This window comes from Homo sapiens, chromosome 16 (genome assembly GCF_000001405.40).
Source record: "Homo sapiens chromosome 16, GRCh38.p14 Primary Assembly".
In the NCBI taxonomy this organism is placed as follows: Eukaryota; Metazoa; Chordata; class Mammalia; order Primates; family Hominidae; genus Homo; species Homo sapiens.
In genome coordinates this window covers 58,993,613-59,013,753 of record NC_000016.10, presented here as the reverse complement: position 1 = coordinate 59,013,753, position 20,141 = coordinate 58,993,613, and the positions used below count along the sequence as shown (strand labels likewise).

Below are 20,141 nucleotides of genomic sequence, written 5' to 3'. Positions count from 1 at the left end.
CCAGGAGTTCAAACCCAGCCTGGGCAATACAGTGAAACACCATCTCTAAAGAAAATTAAAACTAAAGGGAGAAAAAGAATTAACTAAAAAACTTCTTACTGAAGGGAGAAGATGAGAAGATCTGATAACCAGAGTTGTACTTCATCTTGAAAAACTTTCCTCTCTCCAATTCAGTACCAGACTCTTTGGCGTCTGGCTTTATTACTCTAGAGGTGCAGTTAACATAAGCTTCCTCACAAAACCCTCATTCCATGAAGCAATGTAAGTGAACATCAGTTCTTTCCAGTCTTATAATGTTATCTGGCCATTGGATATATCTCTCAAATGCTCAATAATTATATGCGCAATAATATATCTCTCAAATGCTCAATAATTCTCTCTTTACAAGCACCAGACTTTATAAGTCATCAAACTGTAACATCATAAGACTGCCTTTTTTGACCAGAACATTAACAAATATTTATACACTTATATGCAATGCCCAAGCATGCTGATATACAGTGTATATGAAAATTCATATGCTCTCAGTGAAAATGAAAATTATGTTTCCTTCACAGAAATTTCATTTCTAAACATTAATCCAAAAATTATAACTAATTTTAGGTGTAGGTGTAAAGATTTAGTTTAGAAGGTTTGTCTATAAAATGCCAATAATAGAAGATTAGTAAAATAAATTGTAGTATAATGGAATTCTATATATTCAGTAAAAGTGGTATTATAAAAACATGTTATTGGCCTAGGAATATGAAAAATGAAATGTTAAGTGATAATAAAAATTATAACCCAGGCCAGGCACGGAGGCTCACGCCTATAATCCCAGCACTTTGGGAGGCCAAGGCGGGCAGATCACGAGGTCAGGAGATCCAGACCATCCCGGCTAACACAGTGAAACCCCGTCTCTACCAAAAAAAAAAAAAAAAAAAAAAAAAAAAAAAAAGAATTAGCCGGGCGTGGCGGCAGGCGCCTGTAGTCCCAGCTACTCGGGAGGCTGAGGCAGGAGAATGGCGTCAACCTGGGAGGCGGAGCTTGCAGTGAGCCAATATCGCGCCACTGCACTCCAGCCTGGGCGACAGAGCGAGACTCAGTCTCAAAAAAAAAAAAAAAAATTAACCGAATACATGGGGTTCCTTTTTGTTAAAAATTAAAATGCTTATCTTAAATACGTGTATGTATAAGCTAGATAGGAATTGAGACCAACATGTTAGAAGTAGTCATCTCTTAGTGGTGAACTTGCAAGTGATTTCATTTTTTTTATGTTTTGCATGTCTGAATTTTCTAAATTTCTTCCCTAAACATGTTTAACTTGTATAATCAAAACAAATTAAAGTTTAAAAATATGAAAGCAGTGATTGTCCCTAGGTGTTTGAGATTATGTTTTACACTTACTTCTCTATAATGAGCAAGTATTACTTTTATAATTGAAAAATAAATTGTATTTTTTAAAACAGTGTTGGTATAATGTAAAATGAAAGAATAAGTATGATTCCACAAGGGACTTCATCAGGAATATAAACCGCTTTTGCTAGATCTTGCATGAACCATTTTGTTGCTAAAACATACCACTGTAGAAATAATTTTCTCCCCCAATATGCTACAACATAAGCTTGTTCGGTGGCAAGGATTTCCAATTACAAATTGGTCATTATGGACTTCATAATATACAAAGACAATTTTCCTTTTTGGATATGAAAAATACTTCCAAGCTGTGTTCCAGTAAATCTACTATCACTAGCATTGCTGCCAGAAATTGCCATTTGCCATCCTCATTGGATAAACCATTCTCTCTAGAAAACCAGAAGCTTGGTGGGAATTCAAATATTGTCAGTATATCGAACTATATTGTTGTTAACATCAATACGGAATACATTTCCTATGTGGCAACATACAATGTGAAAGTTATAAGCAAGAAAATAATTAAGCATTTAATAAGCAAGAAAGTAATATTTGTTGATAGCTACAAGAGCACTTTTAGTGTCATAAGACCAGAGCTTTCTACTAAATGTGCTTTCTAGAACTTCCAGTTCCTTACCATGGTTTAAATAAACGGTTTTACTTATTCACTTATTTCCTTTATATAGGCATCAAAAAATTCCAGCATTGTATCTGCACTAAATACATCTACATTTTTAAATACGTCCTGAGGATCTAAGGTACAGCATGGTGACTATAGTTAATAATACTGTATTGCATACTTGAAATTTTCTAAGAGAACAGATCTGAAGTGTCCTCACTCCCACACACATACACACATATCATAAACGACAACTATGTGTATAGGATATGTTAATTAATTTCATTATAACTATTATATAATGTGCATATATATCAAATCATCATGTTGTACATCTTGAATATATACGATTTTTATTTGTCTCAATAAAGCTAGAAAAAAATAATTTTTCCTCACAGAACCTCACAGATTTGTCCTCTCCACATATGTCTGTTTTTTCCAAACTCCGCGTTTTATGGATCCAGTTCCCTCCCAGTTCATTTTGATGTCTGTATTTGATTAAGTCTCATTAGAAGATACTTTTCAATAGACTAAGGTCATGGATTTGAGTTCCCAAAGCCAGTTAGTACTGCTTTATTTAAGGTTAGTTGACTGGCCTTCTAATCATGGCCATCTATTTCACAAATAACGATGGTGACCAAGGAACTAAAAGTATAGATGAATCACAAGTAGCTTTTCCAAACTTACCAATAGTAGAATAGCACCTTGAATATAGCAGTCATGCATTCATTCAACAAATACTGAGACCTAGCATGTGCCACAGACTCTTAGAATTTCTAGAAATACACAAGTGAACATAACAATGTCACTGCCTTCATGGAGCTCACATTTTGGAATTGGTTTTATATGTTGTAAAAGCTCCAGTTGTCAGAATCCTTAACTCAAGCCCCAAGGCAAGGATTTTCTAGCTGTTCAATTGATTCTCAGTGGATTTTTATGATGTATCAATGGTATCCAAAAGATAACGGTCTCCATATCCTCTACTTTCTATTCTGCAGCAATCAATTCTCTAAGAAATTACCTGCTTCAAACAGAGAAGCTTTACTTAGGGTTCAACATATTAGAGTTTATTAGATTTCATTTACCCATTGCCTTCCACAAAAGGGAAAAATGCAGGATGTGTACAGGGAAAGAGCTAAGACTCCAATGACAAAGATTTCATAATGGACGTTCAAAGACTCAGCTGTCACTCAGGCCACAGAGTATAAGTGTTTTCTAAACTGCAGAGCCCCTTGGAGGATATAGCCCTACAACTGCACAGACTGAGTAAGAACTGGATTGCAGAGAGTCAATGTCTAACATACCTCAGCAGAGTGCCCAGACACTTAGCGCATGCATGAAGATGGCCCACTTTAATCCACACAAAAGGACTCCTTGAATTCCACTCACTGATCCTATGATGCACAGAAGCTTGCTATCATTATTATTATTATTATTATTTATTTTATCTCTGTATGGAACATCTCTTATGCATTGCTTCAGATCATACCCACTTCAACTCTTTTTCCAATCAGTAACACTGCAAGCAGATTCATGCAGGTACAACCCGACAGCACATTTTTCATTGACATGGTTTGGCTGTGCCCCCACCCAAATCTCATCTTGAATTGTAGTTCCCATAATCCCCATTCATCATGGGAGGGACCCAGTGGGATGTAATTGAATCATGGGGTGGTTCTTACCCCCATGCTGATGTTCTCATGATAGTGAGTGAGTTCTCACAAGATCTGATGTTTTTATAAGGGGCATCCCCCCACCCTTCACTGGTCACTTCTTGTTGCCACCATGTTAAGAAGGACGTGTTTGCTTCCCCTTCCACCATGATTGTAAGTTTCCTGAGGCCTCCCCAGCCATGGTGAGCAATTAAACCAAACCTCTTTCCTTTATAAATGACCCAGTCTTGGGTATGTCTTTATTAGCAGCATAAGAATGGACTAATACACTCATCCTTTTCCAAGGATCTCTGATGCAGTGCTTGACCCTTGTGTGGGAGCAACCTGGAACGCATGAACTAAAGGCCTGTGGGGAAACCTTTGAACTGGATCAGTGGGGGATATGAGCTTATGGGTGAATGGTCCTCCCTACTCCCCACTACCTCAGACAGTGCTGAGTTTTGAGGCACTCATTAAGATTTTCAGAAGATCCCATCAAACCAGACATCCATATCCTTGGTCAAATGGTTACACATTCTTATATCGACTGCTCATTTCCTGTTCCACTACCTGGGTCCTTCACTCCTTCCCTCTGGGATCACATTCCCACATTAACAACCTGAAAATAAGCCTTAGAGTTGGGGCTCCAATTGGGAGGTATGGTAATTTCTCCAATGTCTTAAAAGAATTTGATGTAGGGAGAACATAGGCAACACCATCAAGCAAGACCTGGGTTCCAACCTTAGTTTACAATTTGTTAGCGGCATGACTTTGCACAAGGTTCATAATCGAGGCCCTCTTAAAGAAGTGTGAAGATTACATAAGGTAACAGATTTGTTAGCTTCTAAAATTCCATACCCACCCTCCCACACTCAAAAACATTCATTTTCAGCAGGTTGTAGACTCCCTAGAGATAATGAAGCAGAAATTCAACATAGTAGAAATGAAAGCATACAAGTTAAACAAAATATTCTTCTGTACACAATGTTTCCTCTTTTGTCCCAGAAGTTTACTTGCTTATTTTGCAGGATTTTCCCCCTTTAGAATTACACATTCCTACCTAAAATACTTTGCGGATGATATTAGTTCCAGGTTTACTTACTTTTAAGAACATACAAGACTCTGAAAAACATGTCCTTTTAATTTTTCAACGAAATATCTGAAGCTGGTGATAACATTTTAAAGAAGGTGAATGAGAAGTAACAATAGTTTGGAAGATATGGTTTGAGAAGAACACGTTGAGAAGGTTTGAGCAGAAACCTAGGAGCAGTGTGACCAAGGATCAGTGGAGAAACAGGATTACTGAGAGGCACTGAGGCCCCAGCTGGGACCTGCTTGCAGGTGAATTCTGGTGAAAATTCTGGCATAGTCCCGAGCATTTGCCTTTTCTGATTCTACCAAGGCACTCCTCACTGGCTTCCTATTCTTACCTCTTTCAAAAATAGCATTTATTATATGAAAATTTGATTGTTTTCTAGTCTATATTATTCACTAGACATTTTTTTAAAAACATATGGACCTTTTGTCCAGAAAATAATAGGTGCTCAACTATCTAATATTTTCATATGCTTTCAAGGATTCATTTACCCCCAGATTACGATCTCTGCATTTGACTGTGAGCCTCTTGAGGAGAGAAAGGCTCAAATCATATAAAACTCTCTATCTCTAGGCCTAGTGCAGTGGCTCATGGCTGTAATCCCAGCACTTCGGGAGGCTGAGGTGGGTGGATCACTTGAGCCCAGGAGTTCAAGACCAGCCTGGGCAACATGGCGAAGCCCCATCTCTACAAAAAATACAAAAATTAGCTGGGTGTGGTGGCGCATGCCTGTAGTCCCAGCTACTCTGGAGGCTGAGGTGGGAGGATCGTTTGAGCCCGGAGGCAGAGGTTGCAGTGAGCCACGGTCACACCACTGCATTACAGCCTGGGTGACAGAGCGAGACCCTGTCTGACAGAGCGAGACCCTGTCTGAAAAACAAATAAATAAATAAATACATGAAATCCTGTCTCTGATGCACAGTTTCCAGATACATAAGAACTATTCAAAGAACAGTATTGATATACATATCGAAGAAATGTTTTTCAACTTGGAAAAAGAACTGAACGAATCAGACAAAAACTGAGGTTTGGCAGAGCCGGAGTCATGAATAAACAAAGGGATGAGGATGTGTTGAGATGAAGTGGTTTTGGTTGTGTGAAAAGGCAGATAAATGATGCAAAGTAAAAGATTTATGTTCTGAGGAGATTATAAACTAGGTCAGTGTAATAGTGGAAAAGACTGGGGAATATAATGGTCAGAGAAAGCAACCTCTGCCACTAAAGGTACTTTGAATTATTGTCACTTGACTGTCAGTAAGACAAGTAAGTTTTGTGTAGTGAGTAGAGTCTTTGTACATAAATAGAAATGTATACTGATTAAACTATTATAGAGTCTTTCTATAGAATGAATAGATCGATCGATTTCATTTAACTTACAATGACTTCAAATGAAAAAACCAAGAATAGGAACAGAGGTAAGACTTTCCCACCCTATGATGATTTACCAAGTAATTCCTACTGAAGTCTCATCTTAATTATTTTCTTCAGTTTGCAAAGCTGCTACCAGGGAAATAACTGTGTGATGGATTTTGCTTTTGTGAAATAAGTAATTAGCTCTCCAAAACACAGAAAACCAAGAAAATCCAGATATGGCCAACCATCCATCTACCCATCTATCAATCCATCCATCCACCCATCTATCAATCCATCCATCCATTCATCCTCCGTTCTGTCATTTGACCAGCTACACTTTGAACATGCATTGTTTACCAACATATACCAGAGTCTTGTACACAGAAGTGACTATAAACAGGTTGGGTGCGGTGGCTCACGCCTGTAATCCCAGCACTTTGGGAGGCCGAGGCGGGTGGATCGTGAGGTCAGGAGATCGAGACCATCCTGCCCAACACGGTGAAATCCCGTCTATACTAAAAATACAAAAAAAAAAAAAAAAATTAGCCGGGCATGGTGGTGGATGCCTGTAGTCCCAGCTACTCAGGAGGCTGAGGCAGGAGAATGGCGTGAACCCAGGAGGCGGAGCTTGCAGTGAGCCGAGACTGCGCTACTGCACTCCAGCCTGGGTGACAGAGTGAGACTCTGTCTCAAAAAATTTTTTAAAAAGTGACTATAAATCAAACACTTGCCAACTGAGCATCATGCTAGTATTGTTTACAAAGATGAACAAGGTACCATCCAAAGCATTAAAGACCTCTCAATTTAGAAAAGCGAGTTGCAAATATAAACAAATAGCTAGGATGCATTCAGAAGAAGGATGCATAGGTGGGGATATATAACTATCTTTTTAAAATTATTTTGATTATTAAGATTATGTAAATTCAGATTAATTGGGACAAATACAGAGAGATATTGGCAAGAATGGTAAACACTTATAAACAATATAATAATCAAGTTAGACTAAGTTTTAAAAGTAATTTTCACACTTCTGTCCAGTTTAAGGATTCCCTATAATACTGATCGTCTTCTCCATCATTTCTTGATTCTGACTTTTTCTAATGGGGTTAAACAAATCACAGACTTCATTTCTGGGCAAGACATGCTGTGCTGTGTCTTGAATCAGCACTTCAAATGCTAGTCAAGGTTTCATATCAACAATAGCCCTCCCCACTTTGTATCTGTGGGTGACAGAGAATGAGCCTTTTTAACAACTTGCAAGGAATCATTTTTTTAAAAAAGTAAAAAAGACTAAAAATAAAATAAATTCATGACCTTGGCTTTCCAACTTTTATCTGCACACTTCTTGTTCAAACCGTGTCTCTTGGGTCTCTCTTTGCACAGAGGAAAACATTTCTTTTCTCTGTGTGACTAGGAAGCCTGCATTTCTCTCCACTCCCAGGGCCAGTAAAATGTCAACCTGTGACCAACAGAGAGAATAGATCACGAAGAAATGGGTTATTTTTCCACATGGCATGTTTCCCCATGACTGTCTTTTTCCTGGTCTGGAAGAAATGTTTTCATGACAATCAAGTCACTAATGTTCACTCCTCACCAGCTGATGTGCTTCCATCCCAATTGATGAGCTGGATATTGTGTTAAAATTATTTTACCAAGACCGGATAATCTTCTGGGATTATTTAACCATTTATTTTTCAGAAACTGGCTTATTGGCAGAAACTTGTTAAATGGGTCTTTCTTTCTCCTGGTCCTTTCAAAGCATAATCCCAACTAAACAGAACAAGCTTAAGACAACATTAGACAGTCACGTTATGGGAAATAAAATATGAATTGGAAATTTCTTTCCCCATGGAGGACATTTAGTTGCTTTGAAGGCAGAATAAAACTTTTTTTCTTTCCCTCCTCATGTACCTATTACTACATAGTCCAGCAGTGGTGTACCTTCAATAAATGTTATGCCCATCATCCAAGCATCTCCAAACATGATTGTGTTTAGAAATGGGTTACATTTAGAGATGGTATGTTAAGGTTAGGTTGAGGCAGAATCAACCTCCTAGTAATGTAATAATCTTATTTTTTTTTTCCCCAAGCCGGAGTCTGTTCTGTCACCCAGAGCTGGAGTGCCATGACGGGATCTCAGCTCACTGCAACCTCTGCCTCCCGGGTTCAAGCAATCCTCCTGCCTCAGCCTCCCAAGTAGCTGGATTACAGGTGCGTGTCACCACACCCGGGTAATTTTTGTATTTTTAGTTGAGTGAGGGTTTCACCATATTGGCCAGGCTGGGCTCAAACTCCTGACCTCGTGATCCGCCCCGCCTGGGCCTCCCAGAGTGCTGAGATTACAGGCATGACCCACCACGCCCAGCCTAATCTTCTTATTCTTAAAAAAGTCCCTCTATAAAAAAGGCAAGAAATTTGCAGTGCAGTATAACAAAGCGCATATAACATATAGCAGTGCATATAACAAAGACTAGAAAGATATTTACTGAAATATTCACCATTGTTATGTCTAGTAGTGGAAATACAGGAGTGTTTCTTCTGATTTTTCTCAATTTAATTTTTTTGTTAACTGAATGAATTTTTCTACTGAGTTAAAGGCACTATACTAGTCGCCAGGGTGAGAAAGATTAATGAATTTCCTTCATATTCAGAACCATGAAAAGAAGAGGTGAACCAGGCAGAAAACAACTTACTAGAGGCTTATCTACCCTGACATTCATATCAATTGGTATTCTGACTGTACTCTGTGATACTATGAAGTTCAGATGGGGCTTGGGAAGGGTGAACAAACCCTTTCTCCTTCTCTAAAGACAAATCTGAGCTTAGGTTAACTTTCTTGCTCTTTACCCTGAAAACTTGATAAAGGTAGGATCTCACCTGTATTGCTAGGCAACATTATTTATGGATAGAAAGGCCCATGGTGGAGAAATTGCACCTGACCTGGAAAAGTGTGAATGAAGCATAAATGCCTGGTGGGAAGCCATGGCTCTAGGATTCCCTGAATATGGAGGCTCATAACAGGTCATATCCCTGTGGGGATCTAGAAGCTATACCTAGGCCTATTACAAGAGATATTGGTCTCTATGTGGCATAATATTTCTATGCCAGGGCAACTACTGCACCTGTCTAATATGAGTCTTTTTTTATTGAGGTAGGGTCTCACTCTATTGCCTAGGCTGGAGTGCAGTGACATGATCTTGGTTCACTGCAGCTTTGACCTCCTAGGCTCAAGTGATCCTCCCACCTCAGCCTCCAGAGTAGCTGGGAGTACAGGCATGCGCCACCACACCCAGCTAGTTTCTGTGTTTTTTGTAGACATGGGGCTTCACCATGTTGCCCAGGCTGGTCTTGAACTCCTAGGCTCAAGTGATCCACCCAACTCAGCCTCCCAAAGTGCTGGGACTATAGGCATGAGCCACCATGCCCGGCCTAACCTGAGTCTTATTTTCTCACACCTAAGCTCTCATGCGGGGACGAGGCAGGGGCAGTGCAAGGGAGAACAGAAGGTGTTCTGCTATAAGGATTATTCCCTTTGAAAAGAAATGCCTGACACAGCCCAAGTGAGGTGCTATGTTTCTGGTCCAACAGCCATGCAGGGACGAGGCAGGGGCAGTGCAAGGGAGAACAGAAGGTGTTCTGCTATAAGGATTATTCCCTTTGAAAAGAATTGCCTGACACAGCCCGAGTGAGGTGCTATGTTTCTGGTCCAATAGCCATCTGATTAAACTGGTACCAGGTGTTACCTATTCAGGTCTTGTGTGTCTGAATGTCTTGTTAAGGAGACCCTATACTAGGAGTTGCAGAAAGTATGAAGAGGATAGCCAATTTTAGAAGAGTTGAAACCATTTCCTCAATTATTTCTTCACCAGAAAACACATAAGCATGACTCCTCAAGAGCTCCCTGAAGGAATATTACTGTAGCTTCCACAACTACATTCTTTATTTTAGCCAAGCCTGGAGTGGGTGGACTGGGGTGAGTGCTTGCTGAGTGACACCCACGATGGACTCAAATCATTCTTTGGGGGTGAAAGATGATATTTTATAGTAAATGTATAAGTTCAGTATTAAAGAAGAAGGTTTTTTTTTGCAGTAGTACTGCAAATAGAGATTTTGATCTAATACATTATCATTGTCAGAGTGATTTTCTTGCTAAATTAAGAAACCTATGGGTCATAAATGAAATAGAACTGGTTGGAGTACAAATGTAATTTGACAGACGTGTTCCCTTGTGTGCTGGAGCTGGTTCATTACTAACTTGCAAGAGCCAATTGTTAAATTTTCAGGAATTTGGGGAGCAGACTGTTAAACACAACTGTGATTAAAATTTGAAGCATATAAAGTCACAATTAAATAAGTTATATTAAAACAAAGATTATAAATACTCAAAAACATACACCCTCAGAAATGAAAAATTCATTCCCCAGCTGGTGGACATGCTAATGGTAGGCAGTCCTCAGCCATTAGCTCCCTTTGGAGAGTGCCCTGGTGGGAAAGAGCACCCTCACTCAAGGTCACATTCAAGGCCAATTACTAATCAACACAAGTGATAAATGTCTGGTCTCTTTGCCCCATGTGAGATCACTTTGAAGGATTAGCTAAGCTTCAGAGATCCCCATAGGTCAGCTGAAGCTTTCACAAGGCTGTTCCAAGGCTCAACTTCTTCTTCTGCACAATCCCCACTTCAGGAGGGCTCCCTGATAACTGCCTTGCACATCATTCTCCATCTGTGACAACACCCAACCAAAAATGTTTATTAGGCATCTATTATGTTTCAGGCACCAGAATCATCACTGATTAGTAAGACATGGTCTTTGTTCACAAGAAGATTACAATTTGGGAAAACAGAAATGTATCTATTAGAATGCAAAGTAATAACAGCTATGATGGGTAAACATTATGAAGGCCATATGAGGTATTCCTAGCTGAATCTTTGGAGAGTTAAAAACATAAAGCTGAAACTGGATCCCTTCCTTACATCTTATACAAAAATTAATTCAAGATGGATTAAAGACTTAAATGTTAGACCTAAAACCATAAAAACGCTAGAAGAAAACCTAGGCAATACCATTCAGGACATAGGCATGGGCAACGACTTCATGTCTAAAACACCAAAATCAATGGCAACAAAAGCCAAAATTGACAAATGGGATCTAATTCAACTGAAGAGCTTCTGCACAGCAAAAGAAACTACCATCAGAGTGAACAGGAAACCTACAGAATGGGAGAAAATTTTTCCAACCACTCATCTAACAAAGGGCTAATATCCAGAATCTACAATGAACTCAAACAAATTTACAAGAAAAAAACAACCCCATCAAAAAGTGGTGAAGGATATGAACAGACACTTCTCAAAAGAAGACATTTATGCAGCCAAAAATCACATGAAAAAATGCTCATCATCACTGGCCATCAGAGAAATGCAAATCAAAACCACAATGAGATACCATCTCACCCCCGTTAGAATGGCAATCATTAAAAAGTCAGGAAACAATAGGTGCTGGAGAGGATGTGGAGAAACAGGAACACTTTTACACTGTTGGTGGGACTGGAAACTAGTTCAACCATTGTGGAAGTCGGTGTGGCGATTCCTCAGGGATCTAGAACTAGAAATACCATTTGACCCAGCCATCCCATTACTGGGTATATACCCAAAGGATTATAAATCATGCTGCTATAAAGACACATGCACAGGTATGTTTATTGCGGCACTATTCACAATAGCAAAGACTTGGAACCAACCCAGATGTCCAACAATGATAGACTGGATTAAGAAAATGTGGCACATATACACCACGGAATACTATGCAGCCATAAAAAATGATGAGTTCATGTCCTTTGTAGGGACACGGATGAAGCTGGAAACTATCATTCTCAGCAAACTATCGCAAGGACAAAAAAACCAAACACCACACGCTCTCACCCACAGGTGGGAATTGAACAATGAGAACACATGGACACAGGAAGGGGAACATCACACACCGGGGACCGTTGTGGGATGGAGGGAGGGGGGAGGGATAGCATTAGGAGATATACCTAATGCCAAATGACAAGTTAATGGGTGTAGCACACCAACATGGCACATGTATAAATATGTAACAAACCTGCACGTTGTGCACATGTACCCTAAAACTTAAAGTATAATAATAATAAAAAAAAGAAAAATTCAGAGCAGAAATACAAAAAAAAAGTATTTGTAAAGGAAGAGATATCTACACTGCTTCTAAAGGACAAGTAAGAGCTAACTAGTCTGGAAAGAAATAAAAAGAAAAAGAAAGGCAGAAAGGTATTTCACAAAGAAGGAACAGCATGTTCAAACAGTAGGATGACTATGAAAACACAATGACACTATAAATAATGCAATTTTTTTTCACTTGCTCATAAAGTAGAGGTAGGAAAGAGGTAAAATCCCATGCAAAGATAGTTTTTTTAAAGACTTATTATGTCTCTACTAAAAATACAAAAAATTAGCCAGGCGTGGTGGCGGGCACCTGTAGTCCCAGCTACTCAGGAGGCTGAGGCAGAAGAATGGCATGAACCTGGGAGGCAGAGCTTGCAGTGAGCCGAGATCGCACCACTGGACTCCAGCCTGGGTGACAGAGCGAGACTCTGTCTTAAAAAAAAAAAAAAAAAGACTTATGTTAACGACATTGAACTTTATGCTCAAGAAAAGGAGAGGCATGGAAGGGTGATATACATTTGTATTTTGTAAATATCTCTGGGCCTACAATAGGGAAAGTAGATTTGGGGAGAAGGAAACAGAAGACAAGAAGGCTAGTAAGAGGCTGCTATAGTATTCTTGGCAGAAGACGTTAGTCTGAACCAAAGTTCAGACAATGAATAGAGAGAAGAAGGAAAGTGGAGACATTTTGGAGGTAGCATTGACAAGACTTGAAGAGTCATTGAGCATGGGGTTGATAAAGAGAAAGGGATCAAGGGAAACCTCAAATTTCTGATGAGAAAATGGATAGAAGACATAAAATATGACACTTAAGGCAGTGATTTTTAGGTAAGTTCAATCTGACCTGTTTGTGGGACACCCAAATAAATATATGAAGTTAGCAGCTTGATGCGGAGTTTAAATTGTGTGTGTGTGTGTGTGTGTGTGTGTGTGTGTGAGAGAGAGAGAGAGAGAGAGAGAAACACCTAGAGTGGCTACTTCTGTAATTGCCCCATCCATGCTCTGGCAGCTGATTAGTGAAAGTGTTAAAACTGTCGGAGCCTGTGTAATCACTTTTATAAAGTGATTCAAGAGTACAATATAACTCGGCAGTTGTGAGATAGTGTAGCATATTTAGAACATGATTTTGAAGTCAGGCCAACCTGAGCTTTTATCCCAAATCCACCACCTGCTTGCTATAAAGACTTAGATGAGTTACGTATCTGACCCTCACATTCCCCATCAAGAATTTGACTGCTAATCACAGTTTGCAAGTTTGCCGTAGGCTTAAATGAGGTTGTATATGTAAAAGTACGTGACACATATTAGGCCTTCAGTGATTATTTCATTTCCCAGCCCACAGAGTTTCCAGTGCTCTTTGCATTTTATCTGTCGCTCTCCATACCTCCTGACTCCAGTTTCCACTTTGAACTCATCCTGTTAATATAAAGCATTATTTCAATTACCTGATAAAGATAAAATCCAGCCCCTGCTCTCCCTTTGTACTGTCTGGCTCCGGATGTTTTTGTAATGCTCTCCTGGCCTTGTCTACATCTAATTTACTTCCTTTCAGTTGAATGTTATCGCAAGTCATGAATTGTTCTCACTTCATGTTTATTGCAAACAGATAACCATTATCTCCAACAGGCCTGCTTGGTTTTATCTTAGTCGTTTCACATTCGGCAACTTTGTAATTATTTCATTTTATTTTCTCTACATTAGGTTGTTTCTCTTCTGCATTGATACTTGGATAAAGAGGCGAAAACAAATTTGTAATTTAATAAGCCTTTTCAAACGTATTACTGCTGGAAACAAGCTGAGGTCCTTAAAATTTGTTTTGACTGTAAAGCTCCATGACCATTTCAAAATTCCTTGGCTGAAAAAAACGAAGTTTTTTAGTTTCACCTCTATAAGGTGCTGACTTAATTTCATCAACAGATCCCAGTCAAGCCAGTCAAGGCTTGGTTGGTTTCAGAAACCAGGGCTGCTTCATTTGGGGGGTTACACAAGGCAGCTGGAGAAGATAGGACTGAACCACATCCAGGAGAGAGAACAATGGCAAACCAGAGAAAAGTCAAGCAGTGGCTTCACTCAAGGGAAAGGCATAGGATGAGAATAGAAAAGAAACCAAAACTCTGGAGTCAGGTAAACGTAAGAATAAATGAGGCCGGGCACGGTGGCTCATGCTTGTAATCCCAGCACTTTGGGAGGCCGAAGTGGGTGGATCACCTGAGATAAGCAGTTCAAGACCAGCCTGGCCAATATGGTGAAACCCCATCTCTACTAAAAATACAAAAAAAAAAACAAAATGCCAGGCATGGTGGCAGACGCCTGTAATCCCAGCTACTCAGGAGGCTAAGGCAGGAGAAACACTTGAACCTGGGAGGCAGAGGTTGCAGTGAGCCAAGATCACACTACTGCACTGCAGCCTGGGCAACAAGGAGAGACTCTGTCTATAAATAGATAGATAGATAGATAGATAGATAGATAGATAGATAGATAGATAGATAAGTAAAATGGAGAGAGAGGAATGACGGTTAAATAGCTGAAACTACTCAATACAGGTAGGGTGGATAAAGGCAGGTCCTTTTTTTTTTTCTCATCTTTCTGAGTGTGGCTTTTCTATTCCCATCAAAGAAAATTATACGAGAGCCCATAAAAGATGGCCCCAGTAGATATTCTGCACTTTGTCCTCTCCCTCACACTTCACTCTACCCTCTCATCTCCTTAACTCTCTACTTATCATGCTACCCGGCTACAAATTTCATCTATCCCCTCCTCAGCTGTATAGCCCATACATCTCCCTGCTAATTAAAATTCTAGGCTGGGCGCAGTGGCTCATGCCTGTAATCCCAGCACTTTGGGAGGCCGAGGTGGGCGGATCACGAGGTCAGGAGATCCAGACCATCCTGGCTAACACCGTGTAACCCCGTCTCTACTAAAAATACAAAAAATTAGCTGGGCGTGGTGGCGGGCACCTGTAGTCCCAGCTACTCGGGAGGATGAGGCAGGAGAATGGCGTGAACCTGGGAGGCGGAGCTTGCAGTGAGCCGAGATCATGCCACTGCACTCCAGCCTGGGCGACAGAGTGAGATTCCGTCTCAAAAAAAAAAAAAAAAGTTCTAAAATGAAATATAAAGGTAGAAGCAACAATCTCCTCCTCCTCCTCATTAGCCTTTACCATATAAATCAGCCCTGAACAATAGAAATAAGAAAGAGAACTAACATTTTCTGAGCACTGTCACACTGTCTAGCATTTGAGTACTTTGCATGCCTTATCCCAGTGAATCCTCAGTATGTTCCAATTGAACCGTTGGGGAAACTGAAACTCCCTAAAGTGATGAAACTAGTGGATGAAAGAGCTGGAATTTACACACTGGCCATTCTGACTCCAACCTTCATTTCTAACAATGCTAATTTATGAATTGCACTTTCATGTTGCAGTATTAATATTAATTAATATTTCTCTGCAATGAGCTGCCAGGTCCCCTTTACCTGGCCACTTCTTCTCTGGAGTCAGTGTCGTTCTGGCCTACCATAACTACAAAGTGAAATAAAGAATTGCACTGGAAAACAAGTAGCTCCCTAGCCCAGCATTCTCAAGTCTGGATGTCTGGTATGTGTTGCTTTTATCACTCATACATGAAAAGGTAATGTATTTTGTGGTGTTCACAGTGGAGTGGCATTTAGAGACCCAAGACCTGACACTCTGCTTTAAAACCCCATCATGAGATAAATATCGCTCTTCTAAACCAAAAGAAAAAAAAAAAAAAACAAAAGAAAAGGCAATACATTTAATAATGATCCAAATGAACAGAAATGAAAGGAACTACATTGGCTGGGTTGATACCAAGTCCCCTCTGCCCTGACTGAAGCTGATCCACCACTTCTATCTTCAGCTGTTTATTCAGTCCAAGGCCTAACTTCCTGCTTTATACGCATCTCGTGAGCTCCCAGTGCCAGACATCCTAAAATAAATTACCAAATGGACTCCAGGAACACTCCTTGTTCTTGTTATAAATTTCAAGAAATATATAGAACTTCCTATAGACCCACAGGACAGCCCTTTCAGATGTGCTAAGAACAGCCTGGCTTTCCTCTTCTGGAAGATTTATCTCCTAGAGCCCATGGGCAAAGAGCAGTGGTAAGACCTCTGCGGTTACAAACTCTTTTGCAGTCTAGTTCAAAGAAAACATCATGGGCTTTGGAGTCAGAAAGATCTGAGTTGAAGCCTGAGCTTGCTACCTACTATAGCTGCAACCTTATGCAATGTGCTTTATTTTCCTTGACCATCAGGATCTTCCTATATAAGGTAAGTGAACAGTTACAGTGGAAGAACACTGCAATAATTCAGTGAAATAATGTCTAAAGGCAACTTCATGGTAGTGGAAATACAGTCTGTGTACAAGAACTACTGAGCCCCTCTTTAAAAAGAGGTATCACCTTCATCTTCCTACCAACTTCATGGAGTGTAAAAAGGACACAGCACATTGCAAATGCTGCTGAAATTGAGATATGGGGAGGTAAAATAATATGCCAACTGCCCTTCAGAAAGTTGAAGCAAAACTTTCTAATTTTGCCAGGTCACCTGAATACCCCCCACAACTCCAGGATTTTTTTTTCCCACTAATCTGGCTTCGGAAGCAATTAATGGTGCTATATTCCCATGACCCTTTTTCTGTATTGTTTTACTTTCTGTTCTGTCTTATTTTGTGTGTACATATTTTATTTCCTTTTTAATTAGTTTGTTTTTATTCACTTTTTATATCTACAGAGCTGAGCAGAAATATATATGCAATGTTTAACCTACTATGAAATTTAGAAATGAAGAAATATGTGGTAGGGACCAGCTTTACTCCTTCCCTAGCTCCCAGGGAAATCAAACAAATATAAAGCTGAGATATATTCTTTGCTTACCCAGAACAAGGGGAAACGGGGGGATGTTGCAAGCGTCCATCAACGTAAGGTGGAAAACGGGGGAAAGAGCACTGGAAAAGGAGTCAAGAGGCTTGAGTTCTGTTGCTGCCTCTGCCACTAACTCACCATGCATTCTATCTTTTCTCTCTTCCTCTGTTTCTCTCTTTCACATCTACAAAATAATGCAGCAGGTCTCAAACTTGCTCTGCATCATAATCATATGATTTTTTTAATTAAAAGACTTTATTTTTATTGATTATTATTGTTTTTGATTGACAAACTATAATTGTACACGTTTATGGGCTACAATGGGATGTTTTGATATATGTATTCAACGTGGAAGAACAAAATCAAGCTAACTAATATATTCAGCACCTCACCTACCTATCCTGTTTTATGGTGAGACATTTGAAATTTATTCTCTTAGTCATTTTGAAATACACATTATTATTAACTGTGGCACCCTGTTGTTGTGCAATAGATCTTAGAACCTATTTTTCCTGTCTATCTGAAACTTTTTACCCTTTGTATCCTTCAACAACTCCCCAGTCCTCCCTTCATCATCCCTCACCCCCCGCAGCCACTGGTAACCATTATTCTACTCTCTACTTGGACTAGCTCAACTTTCTTAGATTCCAGATATAAGTGAGATCATGTGGCATTTGTCTTTCTGTTCCTGGCTTATTTCTTTTTTTATTTTTATTTTTTTGTACATGAATAAGTTCTTTAGTAGGTGATTTCTGAGATTTTGGTGCACCCATCAACAGAGCAGTATACACTGTACGCAACCCACCTCCCACCCTTTCTCCCCAGTCCTCAAAGTTCATTGCAGCATCCTTATGACTTTGTGTCCTCATAGCTTAGCTCCCACTTATGAGTGAGAACATACGATGTTTGGTTTTTCATTCCTGAGTCTCTTCATTTAGAATAATGGTCTCCAATTCCATCCAGGCGGCTGCAAATGCCATTATTGCTTTCCTTTTTATGACTGAGTAGTATTCCATGATATCTATACCACATTTTCTTTATCCACTCGTTGATTGATGGGCATTTGGGCTAGTTCCATATTTTTGCAATTGCAAATTGTGCTGTTATAAACATGTGTGTGCAAGTATCTTTTTCATATAATGACCTCTTTTCCTCTAGATAGATACCCAGGAGTGGGATTTCTGGATCAAATGGTAGATCTACTTTTAGTTCTTTAAGGAATCTCTACACTGTCTTCCATAGTGTACTAGTTTACATTCCCACCAACAGTGTGAAAGCATTCCCTTTTCACTGCATCCATGACAACATCTATTATTTTTTGACTTTTTGATTATATGGGCCTGGCTTACTTCACTTAGGATAATATACTCTAGATTCATCCACGTTGTCACAAATAACAGAACTTAATTCTTTTTTAAGACTGAATTGTATTCCATTGTGTATATATACCACATTTTCTTTACCCATTCATTTGTTGATTAACACTTAGGTTGATTCCATATCTTGGCTTTGGGAATAATGTGGCAATGAACATTGCAGGGCACCTATCCCTTCAACATGCTGATTTCAGTTCCTTTGCATAAATACCCAGAAGCGGAATTACTAAGTCATATTATAGTTTTATTTTTAGATATTTGAGGAACTTCTATACTATATTCCATAATGGCTATACTAATTTACATTCCCACCAACAGTGTGTAAGTGTTCCCTTTTTTCCATATTCTCTCCAACAGTTGTTGCCTTTCATCTTTTTCATAAGATGTGTGAGGTGATATCTGATTGTGGTTTTAGTTTGCATTTTTCTGATGATTAGTGATGCTGAGCATTTTTTCATGCACCTATTGGCCATTTGTATGTCCTCTTTTGAGAAACGTCTCTTCAGTTCTTTCTGTTTTCTTGCTATTAAGTTCTGTTTCTTATATATTTTAGATATTAACCCCTTATCAGATGTATGGTTTGCAAATATTTTCTTCCATTCTCTGAATTGTCTCTTCACTTTGCTGATTGTTTCCTTTGCTGTGCAGAAGCTTTTATAGTTTAACATGGTCCCATTCATCTATTTTTGTTTTTGCAGTCTGTGATTTCAGAGTCATATCCAAAAAAATCATTGCCCAGACCCATGTCATGGAGCTTTTCCTTTTATATTTTCTTCCAGTAGCTTTACAGATCCAGGTCTTGTATTGAAGTCTTTCTCCCGTTCCCTCCAAGATGGCCAAATAAGAACAGCATTTGGCCTAGCCATCCAACTACTGGGTATACACCCAAAGGATTATAAATCATGCTGCTATAAAGACACATGCACACGTATGTTTATTGCGGCACTATTCACAATAGCAAAGACTTGGAACCAACCCAAATGTCCAACAATGATAGACTGGATTAAGAAAATGTGGCACATATACACCATGGAATACTATGCAGCCATAAAAAATGATGAGTTCATGTCCTTTGTAGGGACATGGATGAAATTGGAAACCATCATTCTCAGTAAACTATCGCAAGAACAAAAAACCAAACACCGCATATTCTCACTCATAGGTGGGAATTGAACAATGAGATCACTTGGACACAGGAAGGGGAATATCACACTCTGGGGACTGTGGTGGGGTCGGGGGAGGGGGGAGGGATAGCATTGGGAGATATACCTAATGCTAGATGACACGTTAGTGGGTGCAGCGCACCAGCATGGCACATGTATACATATGTAACTAACCTGCACAATGTGCACATGTACCCTAAAACTTAGAGTATAATAAAAAAAAAAAATTTAAAAAAAATAAAAAATAAATAAATAAATAAATAAAATGTGGCACATATACACCATGGAATACTATGCAGCCATAAAAAATGATGAGTTCATGTCCTTTGTAGGGACATGGATGAAACTGGAAATGATCATTTTCAGCAGACTATCGCAAGGACAAAAAACCTAACATCGCATGTTCTCACTCATAGGTGGGAATTGAA

The 20,141-nt window shown here is 39.4% G+C and overlaps 1 annotated feature.

Moving 5' to 3' along the window:
• Window positions 1,102-1,302: a silencer, noted in NCBI's record as "peak2609 fragment used in MPRA reporter construct". NCBI's record gives its function as "represses an SCP1 promoter by STARR-seq MPRAs in K562 erythroleukemia cells {active_cell/tissue: K562}" and the evidence as "EXISTENCE:reporter gene assay evidence [ECO:0000049][PMID:32103011]".